Source organism: Homo sapiens, chromosome 7 (assembly GCF_000001405.40).
Source record: "Homo sapiens chromosome 7, GRCh38.p14 Primary Assembly".
NCBI classification, from domain to species: domain Eukaryota; kingdom Metazoa; phylum Chordata; class Mammalia; order Primates; family Hominidae; genus Homo; species Homo sapiens.
The window spans coordinates 36,369,219-36,392,351 of record NC_000007.14 but is presented as its reverse complement, the minus strand read 5'-3'; the positions used below and the strand labels follow the sequence as shown (position 1 = coordinate 36,392,351).

At 40.4% G+C, this 23,133-nt stretch overlaps 2 protein-coding genes across 11 annotated transcripts in view, besides 3 other annotated features; one reads left to right on the top strand and one right to left on the bottom strand.

Annotated features, from left to right (window-relative positions):
* The window catches only part of ANLN (anillin, actin binding protein), a 63,930-nt gene extending 61,440 nt beyond the window's left edge, over positions 1 to 2,490 (bottom strand). For all 9 annotated transcript variants that reach the window (XM_006715746.3, NM_018685.5, XM_017012354.3 and 6 more), the window contains exon 1: positions 2,308 to 2,490. In XM_006715746.3, coding sequence (XP_006715809.1) covers positions 2,308 to 2,325 — 18 coding nt within the window. In that variant the 5' untranslated portion in view covers positions 2,326 to 2,490. The remainder of the gene's footprint in view (positions 1 to 2,307) is intronic.
* Positions 1,664 to 2,254: an enhancer, noted in NCBI's record as "H3K27ac hESC enhancer chr7:36429707-36430297 (GRCh37/hg19 assembly coordinates)". NCBI's record gives its function as "activates a minimal SCP1, AML or CMV promoter by ChIP-STARR-seq in primed H9 embryonic stem cells {active_cell/tissue: H9 hESC(primed)}" and the evidence as "EXISTENCE:reporter gene assay evidence [ECO:0000049][PMID:30033119]".
* MATCAP2 (microtubule associated tyrosine carboxypeptidase 2) overlaps positions 1,995 to 23,133 on the top strand; it is a 66,206-nt gene continuing 45,067 nt past the window's right edge. Inside the window, exons 1-2 of one of the 2 annotated variants that reach the window (NM_001100425.2) lie at positions 1,995 to 2,385; positions 8,424 to 8,493. In NM_001100425.2, the coding sequence (NP_001093895.1) occupies positions 2,278 to 2,385; positions 8,424 to 8,493 (178 nt within the window). In that variant the 5' untranslated portion in view covers positions 1,995 to 2,277. Of the gene's footprint in view, positions 2,386 to 8,423; positions 8,494 to 23,133 lie in introns of those variants that run through there. The other variant, XM_024446701.2, reaches the window with a different exon arrangement.
* Positions 2,255 to 2,845: an enhancer, noted in NCBI's record as "H3K27ac hESC enhancer chr7:36429116-36429706 (GRCh37/hg19 assembly coordinates)". NCBI's record gives its function as "activates a minimal SCP1, AML or CMV promoter by ChIP-STARR-seq in primed H9 embryonic stem cells {active_cell/tissue: H9 hESC(primed)}" and the evidence as "EXISTENCE:reporter gene assay evidence [ECO:0000049][PMID:30033119]".
* Positions 2,436 to 2,845: a silencer, noted in NCBI's record as "silent region_18102". NCBI's record gives its function as "represses an Ori minimal core promoter by ATAC-STARR-seq in GM12878 lymphoblastoid cells {active_cell/tissue: GM12878}" and the evidence as "EXISTENCE:reporter gene assay evidence [ECO:0000049][PMID:35858748]".

The window sequence follows — 23,133 nt, the reverse complement described above, 5'->3', positions numbered from 1 at the left end:
GTAGACTCAATATAAATTAACTTCTTATTATTTTCAATATGCTCTAGCAGCTCTTCCCCAGGGAACTTCATTTAATTCTGGAAAATAAGAGAAATTCCACTAAAAATGGTAGTGGCATGTTTATTTGCATACTTATTTATATGCAGCCTGCAGACATAAAAGGATCTAAAGCGTCTACAATAAAATATGCTTCTGTGAAGTATTTTAATTATAGCTTTTTCTCTTTTAAGGTTTTTATAAAGAAAGTTCTGGATTGGTACACTTCACTCTGGGTTTCTTTGTAGTATTCTTGTACTGGGATGACTATCACCTGTGAGTAGAGCTTCAAACTCTTGACGTTATGAGTAGTGAGTTTATGGTTTTGTCACCTGGGCGACACTGCGAGACTCCGTCTTAAAAAAAAAAAGAGTGCCAGAACAGTATCAGCGACCACAGGGAGGAAGACCAATGCAGAACAGTCTTGTTTGAGGAAAAGAGAGTTTACCATGATTGTAACCTTTCTCAACTGGAGTTACCAAAATAATTAAGCCCTAATACGCTGGCGTTAATATGATAGACTTATTTCCTATGTTTGTAGGGTGGCATTGAATTATCCTTGGGAGAATTGAGAAAATAGTCTCTCAATTTTCCTGTGTACCATGGTTCTGAGAGGAAACCCTGGTTGAGAGAGTCATTTTATACTGACTTTCAGTTGATAGACAACTGTACCAGTAGCTCATTTCACTGTGCAAATGTTATGAATGCTATAATTAAGCACCCAAGAGTTGGAATCAATTCAAGTAGTTCATTCATTACCTATTAAGGAAAAGACGTCTAAGCTGTTTTTCCAACTGCAAGTGATCTAACTTTTCATAATATAAACCATACATATTTCTGAGCACATCCTAAAACGATCTAAACAGGTAAAGTTTCTTTCAGTTGAGATTTGTACTACCTTCAGAATGACATTTTTAAGTAAAATGAAGTGCAATTTTCAGCCAACTTAAAAATGCTTTGTTCCTGTCTGTTACTTAGGAAGACACATAGGGCTAATGTTTTAAGGAATCGTATTCTAGTTTAGATAAAATAAATACACGCTTTTCGACCTCAGTGTAAGTGAAAGATACTTGGTGCATGACCAGCCCTATTTTAAGGCTAATACAAAAATAGGCTCTAGATTTTTCTATTAGAACCTTTAAGGAAGGTGAAAAAAATTGATGTATTTGTCCCAAGATGATTAAGAATTTGAAACAGAAAAATAGATTATGTCATGCTTGAATATAAGTAAACTCTAATTGCTGAAATCTGTAATTAATATCTCATACATAACTTATAGAATTATAATTACATCTCCCCGAAAGAATTACCACTCTTCACAGCATTTAAGTTTTTGAATCAGTGTAAACAGTTTTAGGTCCACTTTGCAACACTCAAAAACTAACAGTTTGAAATTTGCACAACAGCCTAAAGAAAGAGGAACTGTCCTGGAATAAAAGAGAGTGGACAACTGGCAACAAAACACTCCTGAATGTGACAACGCACATTCTCCACAAAAGCTAAAACTAGAGAAATCGACACAATAACCATGTAACCCATATGCAATCTCAAAGGAACAAAAGATGAAATAAGTACTGTAATGATATGCCCCAGAAACACCGAAAAGTTTATTTCTTTGCTCTAAAATCGTGAGCTGATAGTTTTGCTCGGTACACTTGCATTGTTTCAATTAAAATGGTCAGTCCCGGGTATGAACTTCTTCGTTAGTTAGCTGAACAATGGGATCTCAAGGAACTACTGGCTTTTTATGAACGAATGCAGTGGTTTCTAGCACCTGCTTATTTTAACGTTTTGCTGTCATTTCATTAGCATCTCCCCTGCGGGCTGCGTGAACTCCGCAAATCACACATCCTACTGCCTTTCCCGGCGGCAGCCGCACTGAGTCACCGGCCCCGGACCCCGCCCTGCAGGGCATTCCAGCTGCTTCCAGCAGGACCCGTTCCGCAGGCCTGCGCCTCACTCTTGCTGCGCCAGGACTGCAGAGGGACATGGTAAAAACGGGGGCTGAAAGACCTCTCGCAACAGCCTTTTAGGACAGACTCAAAGCCTTCCTCCCTGAGTTTTATCTGTAGGACCGAAACAACAAAATCTCAGAGGAACCCACCAACCACAGCAGGCCGCAGCCGCGGCGACCCCGGCCCGCACACACTGCGCACGCGCGCACACACGCGCCCTCCGCCCGGTGGGGGTTCGCCCAGAGGTTGACAGAGGAAGGTGGGTGGGGGCCTAGAGCGGTGGGTCATGGCTGGCTGCACCCGCAAACTCACTCACCTCCGTAAACGGATCCATCGCCCCAGGCGTCGGACTACGAGACGATGGAAACGGTGGTTCAAATTCAGGAAGAGAAAAGTGAGTCTCAGCTCAGTGTGTCTCCTGGAAAAAACCAGGAGTCTGAGGCGGGGGAACTCTCCCACAACCAGCTGTCCTCTCCTCTCGGCTTCCAGTGACGGACTCGGCCTCTGCAGCCGTTCAAATTTGAATTTCAGCGCCGAGCCGCGAGCATGCGCGCTGGGCGGAGCCGGGGCGCCCTCTCCCCGCCCCTGCGCTCGGTCACGTGGCCGCGCCGGGCCGGGTGGTTCCCAGGGGCGGCCCCGCCTCCTTCCCGGCCCCCTCCCAGCCCTCGCCGCGGGGTGGAGGCGGGCAGCGGGGCGCTTCCTGCTCTCCAACGGCGTCGGGTTCCTGGCTCCACCCCCAACAACCACACATTCCCCTCAGCTTTAAGGCGATTGCTTCACACCAACCGCGTTTGGGTGTTCCCGCCTTCCTTCATTCCTAAATAAAGTATTAAGGCCGGGAGTAGTGGCGCATGCTTATAATCCCAGCATTTGGGGAGGCTGAGGCTGGAGGATCGCTTGAGCCCAGGAGGTCATGGCTGCAGTGAGCTGCGATCTCACTACTGCACTCCAGCCTGGGCGGCAGAGTGAGACCCTGCCTCAAAAAAGAAAAAAAAAGGATTAAGAGCCCTTGTGTTGGCAGGACATAATCCCAGCACTGTGGGAGGCCGAGGCGGGCAGATCACGAGGTCAGGAGTTCAAGACCAGCCTTGCCAACATGGTGAAACCCCGTCTCTACTAAAAATACAAAAAAATTAGATAGGCATGGTGGCGCGTGCCTCTAATCCCAGCTACTCGGGAGGCTGAGGCAGGAGAATTGCTTGAACTGGGACCCGGGAGGTGGAGGTTGCAGTGAGCAGAGATCACACCACTGCATTCCAGCCTGGGCTACAGAGCCAGACAAAGAGCCCTTGTGTTTCAGGTGCTGCTAGCCCGTTGGCCTTCAGTAGCTTTGTTTCCTAGGTCACACCCAACTCCTAGTCCCCAAAAGGGGGACTGCAGGCCTGGCCCTCAGAAAAGCCAGTTCCGGTGGGTCCCCGACACTCTAAGCCAATGAAATAAAGCTAAAATTAACAGACTGTGTGAAGCGTTCATGCACAATTTTTTATTTTAAATTCCATCCAACTGTGTACAGTGTTAGAGCGGGAGGAATTCTGACAAGCCCTCTATCTAGTTCAATCCTTCCTTTTACTGCCGAGAGAAGGGACACCCGAAAACGTTAAAGAAACTGGTCCAAAGAAATGAAAACCCTGTTCTCAGCTCATGACCCGTTTTCCACACTAGCTAAGGCTGTGTCTCCTGCTTATTCTTTGTAGAGTACTCCAAATTGTAAGATAGGTTACATAATTTCTGTATCAGATTCATTTCTTCTATAACAAGTCTGTGCAGGTAAAGATGACAGTTCTTGATTTGTTCATCTGAAAAGTTAAGAGTGACTGTCCATGAGCTGAACAAAACAGAACTATTCCTCCCAACTGAGTGGTTTCAATATGTTTAATAATATGTCCATCTTAGCAGTCAATCAACATTACAAAAAGAATTTACTAATATTTTTAATTTGAATTTTTGTATGATAAATTGTACGTGACTGAAATCACGGCAAGAGGTAAGGGAAATATTGCTTGGGGTCAGGGCTCCACCCAGTTAGCCAAATCGGTTAACCCATGGGTTTTTTTTTTTTTTAACCTTTGTGGGGAGTCATGGACTCCTTTGGAAATATGTTAAAACTGACCCTCTACCTAGAAAAATGACCATTTAATCATAAACTATTTAACAGGATTTTGTGAAGTTCATGGACACCAGGACAAGAACTTCTGATTTAGCCTGTTTGTATTTTAGTTTACTTATCTGTGTAACAGGAATAATCATCTGCCCTGATTTCCTCAGAGTTGTTAGGAGGGGCAGATGAAAAATGGAGAGACATAATCCAAAAATATTTCATAATAAGTAATAAGACACTGTCCGAGTGTGTAGTATATGGAATTATTAATATTTAACCCAGAATGTGTTACTTATGAACAAAGGAAAAAGATACTTCCATTTTTTTCAAGTGTGACAAGAAAGGTGTGTATGTATTTGGGGCGTGTCTGTGTGTGTATGCGTGTTTTAAACAACGTTGGAAAATGAGTCATTAGAAATTTATGTAGCCGTTGTGCCTTCTGGCTATCACTTCTATGAGCCTTAGTTTCTTTGTATCTACCTCAACTAGATTCTAGTTAAGACTAAAAGAGGTAAAGCACCTAGCATAAGATAGCTACTCACAACATTTAGTGTATCTTCCCTCACCATCCCACTATGTCTTTGGTTTCTACCTTGATAATGATGATGATAGTGATAATGGCAACCATCACAATTAAATAACTCCTAAGACTGAAACACCTACTATGTGCCAGAAACTACGGTAGATATTCAAGTCTACTCTCCTAGGGTATTACAATTGTCTCCTACTATACCTCCTTTCATTCTTAACCCCCGGTAGTTCATTCTTCAGTTTCTAGGCTAGAATGACTTTTATCTTTTTAAAAATTGTGTTATATAACAAATAAAAAAATTTGAAAACAAAAAAATTATGTTATGAAATACAATAAAAATGTGAATAATAAAACATAACCATATACCAGCCACCTAGCTTAAAAAAATACAAAACATCCCACATGTAATTGAAGTCTCCTGTGTGTCCCTTCCTATTCTCATTCATCTTCCCACTCTTCCAGGGTAAAACTATCTTGATTTGATGTTTATCATTCCCATAGAAATATGTATACTTTTATCACATCTACATATATATCCATAACAATATCTAGTGTTTTATATATAAATTTTATTTGCAGAATGTAAGTCTTTCTGCAACTTTTTCTGGCCCAATAATATCTTTATGGGATTTATCCTCACTAATAACTGTAGCTGCATTTCATTCATGTTCACTGCTAAATTTTATTATACAAATATACTTGTAATTTATGTACCCATTATCCTGTTAATGGACATTTAGCTTATTTCCAGTTTTTCATTCCAAAGACCCCATGATGCCATGACTATCCTTTATATGCACATGCAAAACTTTCTCTAGAGCAATATACCTAGGAATATTATTACCAGATATTAAAAATAAACTGCTCTTCAAAATGGTCATAACAAATGATACTCCAGTCAGTAGTATATGCCCCTGGCTGCTGCTCTAGTTCCTCCCCAATATGTGGATACATTTTAAATTTTGCCATTCTTGTTTGAGTGCCTTTCTCTTATCACTAGTGAAGGTGAACATGATTTTTTATTTATTGGACTTTCAATTTTCTTTTTCTGTGATTTTCAACTTTATATCCTTGCCCATTTTTCTGTGCAATTATTTGCCTTTTTCTTATGGATTTATAGGGTTTTTGTTGGTTGTTTACTATTTTCTGGGAAAATAAACTTGGTTGGTTTTTCGGCTTGCCAATTTTTTGGTTTGTGGCTTGTCTTTTTACTTTATGATGTTTCAGATGTACAGAAATGTTTAATATAACTAATGATACACACACACACACACACACACACATACACACATACACATACACATATACCATATATATTTTCCTTTAGGATTTGTGTTTTTTATGCCTTAAGAAATCCTTCCATACCCTGAGATAATAAAGATGTTCTGCTGTACTTTCTTCTAAATATTTTAAAGTATGGCTTTTCATGCTTTTGTCTTTAAACTATCTGGATTGATCTTGTTTTTTGTATGGATAACCAGTTGTCTTAGCAGCAGTTATTAAATTGTCCATCCTTTCTCTCATTGACCTGTAATGCCACTTTTATCATATATCAACTTTTCTTTTTTTTTTTCCCGAGACAGGGTCTCGCTCTTTCGCCAAGGCTGGAGTGCAGTGGCCTGATCTCGGCTGACTACAACCTCTGCCTCCCGGGTTCAAGCGATTCTCCTGCCTCAGCCTCCCAAGTAGCTGGGACAACAGGCATATGCCACCAAATCTGGCTAATTTTTGTGTTTTTAGTAGAGTTGGGGTTTCCCCATGTTGGCCAGGCTAGTCTCGAATTCCTGGCCACAAGTGATCCACCCAACTAGACCTCCCAAAGTGCTGGGATTATAGGCATGAGCCACTGCGCCTACCCAACAGTTCTTTCTTTATCTTATTTTATTTTATTTTATTTTATTTTATTTTATTTTATTTTATTTTATTTTATTTTATTTTATTTTTTGAAATAGGGTCTTGCTCTGTCACCCAGGCTGGAGTGCAGTGGCACGATCACAGCTCACTGCAGCTTCAAATTCCTGGCCTCAAGCAATCTTCCCATCTCAGCCTTCCAAGTATCTGGGACAACAGGTGCATGCCACCACAACCCGCTACTTTTTAAAATTTTTTGTAGAGACAGGATCTCACTTTGTTGCCCAGGCTGGTCTCCAACTCCTGGCCTCAAATGATCCTCCCACCTTGGCCTTCCAAAGTGCTGGAATTACAGGTGTAAGCCACTATGTTCAGCCTCAACTTTTTATGTACACATAGGTCTATGTCGGACTCTATTCTGTTCTACTGGTCTATCTATTCCTCTCCCAATATCACACTATATTAGTTATAAATGTTGATATCTGGTAGGGCAAATTCCAATTCAACTTGGATTATTTTGCCTCATTGTTCTTCCACATGAATTTTAGGGTCAGATTCTCAAGATCCAAAAAGAAAAGAAAAGAAAATCCTCTTCTGATTTTTAATTCAAATTGCACTGAATTTATCACATAATTTGGAGAGAATTCGCATCTTTGTGACAGCAATGCTACCCATTTATGAGCATGGTATATCTTCATTATACCTGCTAAAAATGTCTATAACAAACTTACATAAAGATCTGTAAACTTTTGTTAAATTTATTCCTACGTATCTTTGTTGTTGCTGATCTTTTTAGTTTTAGTAATTTATTTATAGAGAGGGATCTTTTTCAAATGTAAATTTTGCAGTGTCAATTCCTTGTTTGGAGCTGCTCTATGTCTTTCGTTGTAATTAAAATGATATCCAATAATATCCTTATCATACCTACAAGGCCATGCATGATCTGGAATCTACCTGCCTCTCCGAATAACCTAGTATTCTCCTAACATCACAATACTTTCCTTTTTTTTTTTTTCTTTTCACTATGCTCCAGCTTCAGGCCTTTTTTCTGGTCATAAAAAAATGCCAAATTTCTTCCTGCCTCAAGGACTTTCCACTGCCTGGACACTCTTCCTCTAGATTTAGCACGTCTGCTCCTCGTTATTTGGGCCTAAGCTTGCATGTGCTACCTCCTGAAAGAAGACTTCTTTGATCAGGTGGCCACCCCCGTCTTCTCTGCCCACCAATCACTTTCCATTCTATTACTCTGACTTCTTCATCACATTTGCCACTATCTGACATTATTTTAGTTATGTGTTTATGTTTATTAGCTAGGCCTTCCTACTACAGTGTAAGCTGTGGCAGTGCAGGGACTTGTTTATAGCTGTAACCCAGCACCTTCTGGCACATGAGTGCAGTAGATACTTGTTAAATAAATGAATATAAGCATAACTCTTATTCCTATTTTAGAGATGGGAAAACTGAGATGCATAGAGGCTAAGGGATTGGCCTAAATCATCAAAAGTGTCTTCCCTACTTATTTATATAAAACACAAAACTTCCCAAGTTATTTAAATAAAACCCACAACATAATACATTAATTTAAGAATAGAACCAAGAGTCTGAAGTAGAAATAACTAGAGATTAAAGATAGCCCTGGAAAATGAGTATTTGCTCCAAGACCTGTTCTTTTAAACAAAGGAAATAATAATTATGTCTTTTGCAGATAAAATTGCTGATAAAAAGGCTGAAAAACACAAAAATTTGAAAGCAGGGACTGCAACAAAGACCCTCCAAATGCTGTATATTTACAGTTAATTTTTCAAAATACAGTCACACACATTTGTATTTTATATTTTATACTATTTTTATACTTTTTAAAATACTATTTATATTTAATTTTAAAATTTTTAGACTATTTATACTTAATTCACAAAGTAATACAATAACACAAATCTTTTTATTTTTACAGGGAGAGAAAAGGCCAAGACCTAATCATAAGGCAGTGGCAAGAAGAGCTAAACTCAAGTTCTCTACCTCAGGTTATTTGGCTGAAGGGCCACTTCTTTTACACTTTTTAAAATTATTATTATACTTTAAGTTCTGGAGTACATGTGCAGAACGTGCAGGTTTGTTACATAGGCATACACGTGCCATGGTGGTTTGCTGAACCCATCAACCTGTCATCTATATTAGGTATTTCTCCTAATGCTATCCCTCCCCTAACTCTCCACCCCCCTACAGACCCTGGTGTGTGATGTTCCCCTCCCTGTGTCCATGCATTCTCATTGTTCAACTCCCACTTATGAGTGAGAACATGCGGTGTTTGGTTTTCTGTTCCTGTGTTAGTTTGCTGAGAATGATGGTTTCCAGCTTCATCCATGTCCCTGCAAAGGACACGAACTCATCCTTTTTTATGGCTGCATAGTATTCCATGCTGCATATGTGCCACATTTTCTTTATCTAGTCTATCATTGATGGGCATTTGGGTTGGTTCCAAGTCTTTGCTATTGTGAACAGTGCCGCAGTAAACATATGTGTGCATGTGTCTTTATAGTAGAATGATTTATAATCCTTTGGATATATACCCAGTAATGGTATTGCTGGGTCAAATGGTATTTCTAGTTCTACACATTTATTATAATGAAGAAACAACAACCATCAAAGGATGTTATCTATATGTTATTGAAAAGGGCTATTTTACTTGTTACTACTCTCTACTATTAATGATTAATGGTATTAATCTTTACTATTAATGATTCTTAGTGTCACATAGATTTTTTTTCTAGTTTAATTGATGAAGATGTTTCAGATTCCAGAGTGAGCATGAACATATTGTGCTTTCTGAACATATTATATTGTTTCCAAAAACCAGTGCAACTACAGGCATAAGTCCTTTATTCAATAGACTAATCTCAAAATGCATACAACTTTAATCTCCTTTTTATTTTCTCACGTGGTTAATAAGGATATTAAGATAATTCATATTTAAAGGACCACAGTAAATCCTTTCATAAAGAGTAAGAATTATTTTATGTACTTATCACACTATACTTTTTATATTGGTAACTTTTCTTTTCCATACCTAGATTTCTTAAAGCTATTTTTGGCTGGGCGTGGTGGCTCACGCCTGTAATCCCAGCACTTAGGGAGGCCAAGGCGGGTGGATCACGAGGTCAGGAGATCGAGACCATCCTGGCTAACACGGTGAAACCCTGTCTCTACTAAAAGTACAAAAAAATTAGCCGGGCCTGGTGGCAGGCACCTGTAGTCCCAGCTACTTGGAAGGCTGAGGCAGGAGAATGGTGTGAACCCGGGAGGCGGAGCTTGCAGTGAGCCGAGATCACGCCACTGCACTCCTGCCTGGACAACAAGGCGAGACTCCATCTCAAAACAAAAAAAAAAAAAAGCTATTTTTACAAAACTTAATTTTTTAGTGATATCATAGAAGTCACTCTTAAATATTACAGAAGTAACAGAAGCCAGTGTTTCCTAAATATCAGAGTCAATTTATTGAACATCAAATATAACATCTTAAATTTTCCTCCCATGCAAACAGACATTTTGCAAATCTTCTTTTTTTTTTTTTTTTTTTTTTTTTGAGACAGACGCTGTCACTCAGGCTGGAGTGCAGTTGCACAACTCTGCTCACTGCAACCTCCGCCTTCCAGGTTCAAGTGATTCTCCTGCCTCAGCCTCCCGAGTAGCTGGGATCACAGGCACCCACCACCATGCCCGGCTAATTTTTGTATTATTATTGTTTTTTTTTTAGTGGAGACAGGTTTTCACCATGTTGGCCAGGCTGGTCTTGAACTCCTGACCTCAGGTGATCTGCCCACCTCGGCCTTCCAAAATGCTGAGATTACAGGCATAAGCCAAAGCGCCCAGCCACAAATCTTCTTAAATTTGATACAAGAGAATGTAACAGATTTATTGCACTCCATTGATGTCTGTCATGAATTTAGTGATCTTCTAAACACTTCAAAAATTTCTCCTCACATGCTATTTCCAGACCCAGGGTTCATTTATTCTTTCATTAATCCTTCCAAATGCTGGGGTTCAGGACATACACTTTCACTCTCCTCTTTCCTGCTTCTCAGAGTCTGACACCATCCCAGTTTTCCTCAGTCCCATTCATGCCTGGCACTTAATAGGCCCTCAAGAAATGTTTGCTGTTTGCTGGTGTATTCTCCGGGACCACAATCTCCTTCATTTTTTTTTTTTTTTTTTGAGATGGAGTCTCACTCTGTCACCTAGACTGGAGTGCAGTGTTACCATCTTAGCTCACTGCAACCTCCGCCTCCCAGATTCAAGCAATTCTCCTGCCTCAGCCTCCCAAGTAGCTGGGATTACAGGTGCCCACCACCATACCTGACTAATTTTTTGTATTTTAGTAAAGACAGGGTTTCACCATGTTGGCCAGGCTGGTCTCAAACTCCTGACCTCAGGTGATCCACCTGCCTCGGCTTCCCAAAGTGATGGGATTACAGGCATGAGCCACCGCACCTGGCCTCCTTCCTATACTCTGACCTTAACATTCCTCAAACCTTCCAACTGTACTGACCTTCTCCTCCCTTTTCATCCACCCACATGTATGACCACACATGGACTCCAATCAACACTTGGAAATGCTCCAACTCCAAGATTTCAAACCCCAAACCTGGTCTCCTGATTCTAATCTTGCCTCCTTATCTCTTCTTCACTGCTGCTCACTCCTCCTAAACCTGCAAGTCCCCTCCCTTCTCCCTTCCAGTCCTAACCTTCAGTTCATTCTCCTTTTTCAGCTTTGGGCCCTAACTGAAAATATTATAGCTTGAGCTTTATAGCTATACCCAGGTGTTAACCTTGACCTCCTACCATACCCTTTTCTAAGAGGCCACATGCCTCATACGTAGCTCAATCTATTTTGAAAAGGAGGCCAAGAAAAAAGGGAGTTTAAAACAAAACCAAACCACCAGCCTGGCCAACATGGTGAAACCCCATCTCTACTAAAAATACAAAAAATTAGCTGGGTGCAGTGAAGCATACCTGTAATCCCAGCTACTTGGGAGGCTAAGGCAGGAGACTCGCTTGAACCTGGGAGGTGGAGGTTGCAGTGAGCCGAGACCGTGCCACTGCACTCCAGCCTGGGCTACAGAGCGAGACTTTGTCTCAAAACAAAACCTTAGAGCAGTCAGAGAATTTATAGATCACCTAATCCAGCTTCTTAAAATAGTAGATGAGGAAACAAGACTGTGAATAGTCTAAGATTTCCAGATCCTGCCATCGTCCTTTCTTGGGTCTCTTCCCAAACACTGCCCATCCTCCTTTAAGCCTCACTTGCTCCTTCCCAGCCAGACTCAAGAGAAACTATTTTAATACCATTCTCCTTGGTCTCTTGTCCTTCTTGCTGCACTTAACTTGCTAATCTCTAACTGTTCTGTTTTCCTGGCTTGCTCAACATTGCCAGAAAAAGACAAGAAATTGAGCCAATTCCATTTCAAATTTATTCCACTGGACCATTAATGTTGCTCAGAATCCATTTGAATAATTTGAATCAGAATCCATTTGAATCCCTATCACAGTCTCGATCACATTTCCCATCCCACCCGTTTACTCTCTGCAAATGACCTTACCACCCACTTTGCTTAGTGTTCAGTGCCAAGGAAAGCACTCAGAGATGAGAACCCAATCACCTGCTGTTCATTCCTGAATAAACCCTGCTATTTGCCACCTCTATGGCATGCTCATCCTACTCCCACTACCAAAATGCCCTGCTCATCACCTTTGAATTTCTAAATACAAATCCAGCTGAATATTATATCTTACAAGATTTCTTGCCTAGTCCAAAGTGAGGTCATCATCCACCTCAGTACTCAATTTGCACCACTTTATTTTGCCATTATTTCAGACTTACAGAAAAGTTGTGAAAGGTTTACATGTAGACACATAGAGAGAGAGAGCAAAAGTGGAACAAAGATTCCTGGATTCCAGGCATCATTCAGATTCCCAATATAGTAACATTTTACTATATTGGCTTTATATTCTCTCTCTCTCTCTCTCTCTCTCTCTCTGTGTGTGTGTGTGTGTGTGTGTGTGTGTGTGTGTACTTACCATTGTGTTACAATTACCTCCAGTATTCGTATAGTAACACACTATACAGGTTTGTAGACTAGCAGCAATAGTCTACACCATCTAGGTTTATGTAAGTACATTCCATGATGTTCCCACAATGACAAAATCACCTAGTGACACATTTTTTTCAGAACATATCCCCATCAGTAAGTAACACACGACTGTACATATTCACATATATATATTTACATATATACATACATACTCTGAACTGTTTAGGGAGAAAAGGATATCATGTCTACAAGCTACTCTTAAAACAGTTCAGAAAAAAAGTCATGTATGTATATAGGTATCTTTATGTATATATACACATACACACACAGACACACACATGCATGGTTATAGTTACATAGTCATATATGTTACTCTCTATGTACACGTAGATAGATAGAAAGAAAGATAAAACCTTGTGGGTTCTTATTCCTCTGCCCCACAACCAAATGACTGAGAACTCTAAATTCTTCCCAGAATGCTCTTGTCTGCCTTCGTACACTCCCCAGGTGATCTCATCAGCCCCACTGACTTAAAAATTCCATCCAGGTAGTGGGGTTCATTCCAAGATGGCCAAATAGGAACAGCTCCGGTCTGCAGCTCCCAGCATGATTGACACAGAAGATGGGTGATTTCTGCATTTCCAACTGAGGTACCTGGTTCATCTCATTGGTACTGGTTGGACAGTGGGTGCAGCCCATGGAGGGCAAGCCGAAGCAGGGCAGGGCATCACCTCACCCAGGAAGTGCAAGGGGTCAGGGGATTTCCCTTTCCTAGCCAAGGGCAGCTGTGACAGTATGTACCAGGAAAATTGGGACACTGCCACCCAACTACTGAGCTTTTCCAACGGTCTTAGCAAATGCACACCAGGAGATTATATCCCATGCCTGGCTCAGCAGGTCCCATGCCCATGGAGCCTTGCTCACTGCTAGCACAGCAGTCCGAGATCGAACTGTGAGGCAGCAGCCTGGCTGGGGAAGGGGCGTCTGCCGTTGCTGAGTCTTGAGTAGGTAAACAAAGCAGCCAGGAAGCTCGAACTGGGTGGAGCCCACCACAGCTCAAGGAGGCCTGTCTGCCTCTGTAGACTCCAACTCTGGGGGCAGGGCAGAGCCGAACAAAAGGCAGCAGAAACTTCTGCAGACTTAAACATCCCTGTCTGACAGCTCTGAAGAGAGCAGTGGTTCTCCCAGCATGGTGTTTAAGCTCTGAGAACAGACAGACTGCCCCCTCAAGTGGGTCCCTGAACCCCATGTAGCCTAACTAGGAGACATCTCCCAGTAGGGGTCAACTGACACCTCATACAGCTGGGTGCCCCTCTGAGACAAAGCTTCCAGAGGAAGGATCAGGCAGCAATATTTGCTGTTCTGCAATATTTGCTGTTCTGCAGCCTCAGCTGGTGATACCCAGGCAAACAGGGTCTGCAGTGGACCTCCAGCAAACTCCAACAGACCTGCAGCTGAGGGGCCTGACTGTTAGAAGGAAAACTAACAAACAGAAAGGACATCCACACCAAAACCCCATCTGTAGGTCACCATAATCAAAGACCAAAGGTAGATAAAACCACAAAGATAGGGAGAAACCAGAGCAGAAAAGCTGAACATTTTAAAAACCAGAGCACCTCTTCTCTAAAGGATCACAGCTCCTCGCCAGCAACGGAACAAAGTTGGACAGAGAATGACTTTGACGAGTTGATAGAAGTAGGCTTCAGAAGGTCGGTAATCACGAACTTCTCCAAGCTAAAGGAGGATGTTCGAACCCATTGCAAGGAAGCTAAAAACCTTGAAAAAACATTAGACGAATGGCTAACTAGAATAAACAGTGCAGAGAAGAACTTAAATGACCTGATGGAGCTCAAAACCATGGCATGAGAACTACATGATGCATGCAGAAGCTTCAATAGCTGATTCGATCAAGTGGAAGAAAGGATATCAGTGATTGAAGATCAAATGAATGAAATGAAGTGAGAAGAGAAGTTTAGAGAAAAAAGAGTAAAAAGAAACGAACAAAGCCTCCAAGAAATATGGGACTATGTGGAAAAAGCATATCTATTTTTGATTGGTGTACCTGAAAGTGATGCGGAGAATGGAACCAAGCTGGAAAACACTCCCCAGGATATTATCCAGCAGAACTTCCCCAACCTAGCAAGGCAGGCCAACATTCAAGTTCAGGAAATACAGAGAACACCACAAAGATATTCCTCAAGAAGAGCAACCCTGAGACACATAATCATCAGATTCACCAAGGTTGAAATGAAGGAAAAAATGTTAAGGGCAGCCAGAGAGAAAGGTCGGATTACCCACAAAGGGAAGCCCATCAGAATAACAGCAGATCTCTTGGCAGAAACTCTACAAGCCAGAAGAGAGTGGGGGCCAATATTCAACATTCTTAAAGAAAAGAATTTTCAACCCAGAATTTCATATCCAGCCAAACTAAGCTTCATAAGTGAAGGAGAAATAAAATCCTTTATAAACAAACAAATGCTGAGAAATTTTGTCACCACCAGGCCTGCCTTACAAGAGCTCCTGAAGGAAGCACTAAACGTGGAAAGGAGCAACCAGTACCAGCCACTGCAAAAACATGCCAAATTGTAAAGACCATTGATGCTAGGAAGAAACTGCATCAACTAATGGGCAAAATAACCAGCTAACATCATAATGACAGGATCAAATTCACACATAACAATATTAACCTTAAATGTAAATGGGCTAAATGCCCCAATTAAAAGACACAGACTGGCAAATTGGATAAAGAGTTAAGACCCATCAGTGTGCTGTATTCAGGAGACCCATCTCAAATGCAGAGACAAACATAGGCTCAAAATAAAGGATGGAGGAAGATCTACCAAGGCAAAAATAAAAAATAAAAAAAATAAAAAAGCAGGGGTTGCAATCCTAGTCTCTGATAAAACAGACTTTAAACCAACAAAGATCAAAAGAGACAAAGAAGGCCATTACATAATGGTAAAAGGATCAATTCAACAAGAAAAGCTAACTATCCTAAATATATATGCACCCAATACAGGAGCACCCAGATTCATAAAGCAAGTCCTTCGAGACCTACAGAGAGACTTAGACTCCCACACAATAATAATGGGAGACTTTAACACCCCACTGTCAATATTAGACAGATCAACGAGACAGAAGGTTAACAAGGATATCCAGGAGTTGAACTCAACTCTGCACCAAGCAGACCTAATAGACATCTACAGAACTCTCCACTCCAAAACAGCAGAATATACATTCTTCTCAGCACCGCATTGCACTTATTCCAAAATTGACGACACAGTTGGAAGTAAAGCAATCCTCAGCAAATGTAAAAGAACGGAAATCACAACAAACTGTCTCTCAGACCACACTGCAATCAAATTAGAACTCAGGATTAAGAAACTCACTGAAAACCACAGAACTACATGGAAACTGAACAACCTGCTCCTGAATGACTACTGGGTAAATAATGAAATGAAGGCAGAAATAAAGATGTTCTTTGAAACCAGTGAGAACAAAGACACAACATACCAGAATCTCTGGGATACATTTAAAGCAGTGTGTAGAGGGAAATTTATAGCACTAAATGCCCACAAGAGAAAGCAGGAAAGATCTAAAATTGACACCCTAACTTCACAATTTAAAGAACTAGAGAAGCAAGAGCAAACAAATTCAAAAGCTAGCAGAAGGCAAGAAATAACTAAGGATCAGAGCAGAACTGAAGGAGATAGAGACACAAAAAACCCTTCAAAAAAATCAATGAATCCAGGAGCTGGTTTTTTGAAAAGATCAACAAAATTGATAAACCGCTAGCAAGACTAATAAAGAAGAAAAGAGAGAATAATCAAATAGATGCAATAAAAAATGATAAAGGGGATATCACCACTGATCCCACAGAAATACAAACTACCATCAGAGAATACTGTAAACATCTCTACGCAAGTAAACTAGAAAATCTAGAAGAAATGGATAAATTCCTGGACACACACACCCTCCCAAGACTAAACCAGGAAGAAGTTGAATCCCTGAATAGACCAATAACTGGCTCTGAAATTAAGGCAATAATTAATAGCCTACCAACCAAAAAAAGTCCAGCACCAGACAGATTCACAGCCGAATTGTACCAGAGGTACAAAGAGGAGCTGGTACCATTCCTTCTGAAACTATTCCAATCAATAGAAAAAGAGGGAATCCTCCCTAACTCATTTTTTGAGGCCAGCATCATCCTGATACCAAAGCCTGGCAGAGACACAACAAAAAAAGAGAATTTTAGACCAATATCCCTGACGACATTGATGCGAAAATCCTCAATAAAATACTGGCAAACCGAATCCAGCAGCACATCAAAAAACTTATCCACCAAGATGAAGTTGGCTTCATCCCTGGGATACAAGGCTGGTTCAACATACGCAAATCAATAAATGTAATCCATCACATAAACAGAACCAACAACAAAAACCATATGATTATCTCAATAGATGCAGAAAAGGCCTTCGACACATGAAAAAATGCTCATCATCACTGGTCATCAGAGAAATGCAAATCAAAATCACAATGAGATAGCATCTCACACCAGTTAGAATGGCGATCATTAAAAAGTCAGGAAACAACAGGTGCTGGAGGGGATGTGGAGAAATAGGAACGCTTTTACACTGTTGGTGGGAGTATAAACTAGTTCAACCATTGTGGAAGACAGTGTGGCGATTCCTCAAGGATCTAGAACTAGAAATACGATTTGATCCAGCCATCCCATTACTGGGTATATACCCAAAGGATTATAAATCATGCTGCTATAAAGACACATGCACACGTATGTTTATTGCAGCACTATTCACAATAGCAAAGGCTTGGAACCAACCCCAAATGTCCATCAATGATAGACTGGATTAAGAAAATGTGGCACATATACACCATGGAATACTATGCAGCCATAAAAACGGATGAGTTCATGTCCTTTGTGGGGACATGGATGAAGCTGGAAACCATCATTCTGAGCAAACTATCCCAAGGACAGAAAACCAAACACCGCATGTTCTCACTTATAGGTGGGAATTGAACAATGAGAACACGTGGGCACAAGGTGGGGAACGTCACACACCGGGGCCTGTTGTGGAGTTGGGGGCAGGGGGAGGGATAGCATTAGGAGAAATACCTAATGTAAATGATGAGTTAATGGGTGCAGCAAACCAACATGGCACATGTATACCTATGTAACAAACCTGCATGTTGTGCACATGCACCCTAGAACTTAAAATATAATTTTAAAAAATAATAATTAAAGAAAAAAAGAAAGAAGTCTTAGGGGTTTTTGAATCTTGTTCTTAGAACGTAAAAACGTTCAAGATATTATTAAATCTCCTCAGCGATGCCAAGGCAAGCTTTTAAAAACATAAATCATGTCATGTCACTGCACTATTTAAAATCCTCCAGTGGGCCAGGTGCAGTAGATCATGCCTATAATCCCAGCACTTTGGGAGGGCAAGGCAGGAGGATCACTTGAGTCCAAGAGTTCAAAACCAGCCTGGGCAACATAGTGAGACCTTGTCTCTACAAAAAAAAAAAAAAGTTAGCCTTGCATGGTGGCTCATGCCTGTACCTCCAGCTACTCAGGAGTCTGAGGTGGGAGGATCACTTCAGCCCAGTAGGTGGAGGCTGCAGTGAGCTGTGATCTCACCACTACACTCAGCCTGGGTGACAGAGTGAGACTGTGTCTCAAAAACATATATATATAAAATAAAATGGCCAGGCATGGTGGCTCACGCCTGTAATCCCAGTACTTTGGGAGGCTGAGGCAGGTGGATCATGAGGTCAGGAGATCAAGACCATCCTGGCTAACAAGGTGAAACCCTGTCTTTACTAAAAAATACAAAAAATTAGCTGGCACCTGTAGTCCCAGCTACTCGGGAGGCTGAGGCAGGAGAATCGCTTGAACCTGGGAGATGGAAGTTGCAGTGAGCTGAGATCGTGCCACTGCACTCCAGCCTGGGCAACAGAGCGAGACTCCATCTCTAAAAAGAAAAAAATCCTCCAGTTGCTTCTGATTGCACTTGGAATAATATTGAAACTAGGCTGGGTGTGGTAGCTCACTCCTGTAATAATGGCACTTTGGGAGGTAGTGGGGGAGGACTGCTTGAGGCCAAGAGTCCCAGACTAGTCTAGGCAACATAGTGAGACCCCCATCTCTACAAAAAATTTTTAAAAAATAAAGAATAAAGTCTAAACTCCCTTCCCTGGCCCCTGCCTACCTCTCTTTTCCTACCCGCTTTCCCCCAGCTTACTAGACTTCAATCATACTGACCTTCATGTGGGTCCAGGATCAGCCAAATTATTCTTATCTCAGGCCTTTTGGCTTTGCAATTCCTTTGCCTAGATCGCTTGTCCCCTAAAAATTCCGACTCTTATTCTTCAAGTGGCTGACATTTGTTCTTCAAGTCTTAGCTCAAAGGTACTTTCTCAGAGGCCTTTCCTGATCACTCCAAGTTACCTACCATCTAGCATACTTTACCGATTTGCCGTGCTTCATAGCACCTATCTGTATCTGAAATTATATCATTTGTTAACTTGGTTGTTGTTTTTTTCTCCCAGTATAAGTTCTATGAGAACTGGGACTCTGATTTACTTACCCCAGCATCCCTGTCATATGTGCTAAAGGACTGATTGATGCATGTACATCATTTTTATTGCCCTCTTTTTTTTTTTTTTTTTTTTAGATGAAGTCTTGCTCTGTTGCCCAGGCTGGAGTGCAGTGGCACCATCTTGGCTCACTGCAACCTCCGCCCCTGGGATTCAAGCAATCCTCCTGGCTCAGCCTCCCGAGTAGCTGGGACTACAGGCATGCACCACCACACCTGGCTAATTTTTGAATTTTTAGTACAGACAGGGTTTTACCATGTTGGCCAGGATGGTCTCGAACTTCTGACCTCAGGTGATCCGCCCACCTTGGCCTCCCAAAGTGTTGGGATTACAGGCGTGAGCCACCATGCCCAGCCATCATTTTTACATATGTATGTACATACCATCAGTAAGTTCTTTGAAGGTAGGTTTCATATCTTTTTCATCATCTTTTTACCTTGTATATAATAGGAACTTAAATATCTGTGGAAGGAGTAAGTTAATGCACATCTTGGTTTCTCCAAAATATAATAAAGAGCAGTATCTTTTTGGCTGATTAAAAAACATCCTTCCTCCCTTAATCATTTCCAACAAACATTAAAAACATCATTTACACACATGTAAAATCACAGTGTTCCCCAGGGTTTTTGTGCTGTTCTATTTTCATTGAGGTAAAAAGGCAGAGGCGTTTCACAAAGCATTCTTTTATTTGGCTTCTACTTAACGCTTTTCATTCTCCTGAATATAGACATGCTGCAAAACATTCCATTCTCTTGATATAGACATCCTGAAAGCATTCAAACTTCGCTGAAATTTTTTTTAAAGCCAAGGAAAAACCAATTCTACCAACTATTTCCTAGATTTCTTTTTTTTTCCTCCTCTTTTATGAATCAAGAAACAATGTTCACAGTTTGCCCTGAGGCGTCTGGTAATGCTTATCAGAATCTGAGGTATTGCAACTAGAGTTGCTCTGTTCTTTTATAATGGTAGGCTGCAGAAGCTTCCCTCCCCATTTTTTAAGTTTCTCATCTGAAACTTACAAGTAAGTAAATATAATGTTCTAATTCTTTTTGTGTTAATAAGATAAAAACCTCTTTTTAAGAAATTAAACTTTTTTTTTTTCAGTTGCAAGCATGATATGCTCTCAAAAAACTGAACTTCTGCTATAGAAAGTGAAGTATTACAGACTGGGCATGGTGGCTGACACCTTTAATCCCAGCACTTTGAGAGGCTACAGAGGGAGGATTGCTTGAGGCCAGGAATTTGAGACCAGCCTGGGCAACAAAGCAAGACCCCATTTCTATAAAAAGTGCCTGTGGTCCCAGCTACTTGGAAGGCCAGGGTGGGAGGATCGCTTGAGCCCAGGAGTTATGATCGCGCCACTGCACTCCAGCCTGGGCAACAGAGTGAGACCCTGTCTCTGGAAAAAACAAAACACAAAAAAAACCAAAGTGAAATAATATACTTTTCTTCCAGTAGCAACACTTTCTGGCAGCCTTGTCCATGCTTTACCATCTCTCTCTTCCTCTTTCTTGGTCTTTACTAGCCTCTATCCCCTATCAAGGTAAATGATCAAACTTCTCCTGAGTCTTTAACAAGCAGGATGTTGATCTTTTTTTCAAAAAAGAAAATGATCTTCTTTTATTACACAGATGGTTTAACTTACTTTTTTTAATACCAAAACTCCATCAACTTATGAATAGTAAATAAACATTTGTCAACATCTGTTCTACTATGTAAGAAGAATATAGAGATTAACATGAGTAGTTAAACAAGTTACTGACAAAATAAAAAAATACTGGCTCACATCTGTAATCCTAGCATTTTGGGAGGCGGAGGCAGGCAGATTGCTTGAGTCCAGGAGTTCAAAACCAGCCTGGCAACATGGCAAAACCCCATCTCTACAAAAAAATACAAAAAATTCGCCTGGCCTGGTGGCACATGCCTGTAGTCCCAGCTACTTGGGAGGCTGAGGCTTAGGTAAGAGGATTACCTGAGCCTGGGAGGTTGAAGCTCCAGTGAACCATGATCATGCCATTGCACTCCAACCTGGGCAACAGAGTGAGACCCTGTCCCAAAACAAAAAATGAAATAAAATAAATACGTTCTTTACCTATAACATAACAATCCTGCTACAAATAAAATAACAATATTTCTATCAAAACACCTATTTTTCTATTATTTTAAATCTAAAATTAAATGGAAATCATCCTTACAGATATTCATTAATCAAAATGTTCCACAATACAATGCTTCTAGAATTCATAAAGATGACCATAAAAGGAAAGTGAGTATATCTCAGTAAGACAACTGCAATGGCATTTTTGGTTATTATTGAAAAATTTAAGTTTAATAAAACTTTAAAAAGGGTGAAGGACATCCTTAAAGATAAACATAAATTATTAAAATCAGTTTTAATGGCGAGGCGTGGTGGCTCACGCCTATAATCCTAGCACTTTGTGAGGCCAAGGTGGGTGGATCACCTGAGGTCAGGAGTTCGAGACCAGCCTGGCCAACATGGTAAAACCCTGTCTCTACTAAAAATACAAAATTAGCCGGGTGTGGTGGCGCATGCCTGTAATCCCAGCTACTTGGGAGGCTGAGGCAGGAGAATCACTTGAACCCAGGAGGCAGAGGTTGCAGTGAGCCAAGATTGCGCCACTGTACTCCAGCCTGAGCAAAAAAAAGAGCGAAACTCCATCTCAAAAGGAAAAATAAATAAATAAAAATAAAAAACAAAAGCAGTTTTAACAAATTCCTAACTTGATCTTGAAATCAGTGCCCTAAAAATGGAGCAGTAATATAATTAAGTCGATCATCTTGTCTCAATATTAATGGTTAATATAGAAACAGGTATAAAGGAAAGTTTCTCAGAAAGATGAGATTGTTCATTGTTCTTGTGGATATGTAAAAACAATGCTGACTCAAAAGCAGCCAACTGGACAGCTGCAGATGCTGAACCCAATGGAAACACTAAGCAGGCATAGCACGAATCAGTAATTAACAAAGCAGATGCAGAAAGCTTGATGAGGATGAATAATTGCATAGATGGGAATAGTAAAAGGAGCTGGTAACAGTACAAGTTTTATAAGAAGTTAGATAAACTCTTTGTATTCATGAATTTGTTAGCAAGAGTGCTTCAATAATACACAGAGATATATTTTTTAAATGTTTTGATTACATTATAAATACCTTTATATGGTGCTTATCACTAAAGATATTTAAAAATTATCCACAAGAAAATATTGGTAGGGTGAACATAAAAATAATTATAAAAGTAAAGAATGATATAATATTCCAGGTAGGCTAACTACAGAGGCATCAAATTTGTTTATTTTTGGAATTCTTAATTGTAGTGAAGTGTTGAAATTAGAATGCACATCATTTTCTAATTTTTATATGTATGTATACATGTATATATATATACACACATATATGTATTTTATAGAAAATCTTCCCTGCTAGTCAGGACTGTCCTTGAGGATAGGTATCATCTTTTGTTATGTACTCCAAAAACACCAAGCCCAGTGTCTTCTATATAAATAAATACCTGTGGAATGAGGAAGATAATATGTATCTTGGTTACTTAAAATATAATGAAAATAGGCAATATGATTAAACATACTTTAGTAAAAGCACTGAACATATGACTTGGTAACATCTTTTAGGAGGCTTTCTTTTTTGAGAAATAGCTCTTAAACTGCAGTGACTGTGACTTTAAAAACTAGAAATTTGTAGAGGTAATAGATGCATTTATAGCAAACTTGGAAAACAGCTTTCAGAATTCTGGGTATATAAGGAAGCCAACAGCATGGTTAATTTAGAGCCTTTTTCCTTAGGACATATGTTGCAAGAATTACTACTCTTACAAATGCAGCAGATTCATTGCTCATTACTATAGCAAGTGTTTTAACTCAAAGCAGATTTGTTCTTCGTCTATTGGTCCATTTGATATAATTCTATATTATTTTAGTTATCATT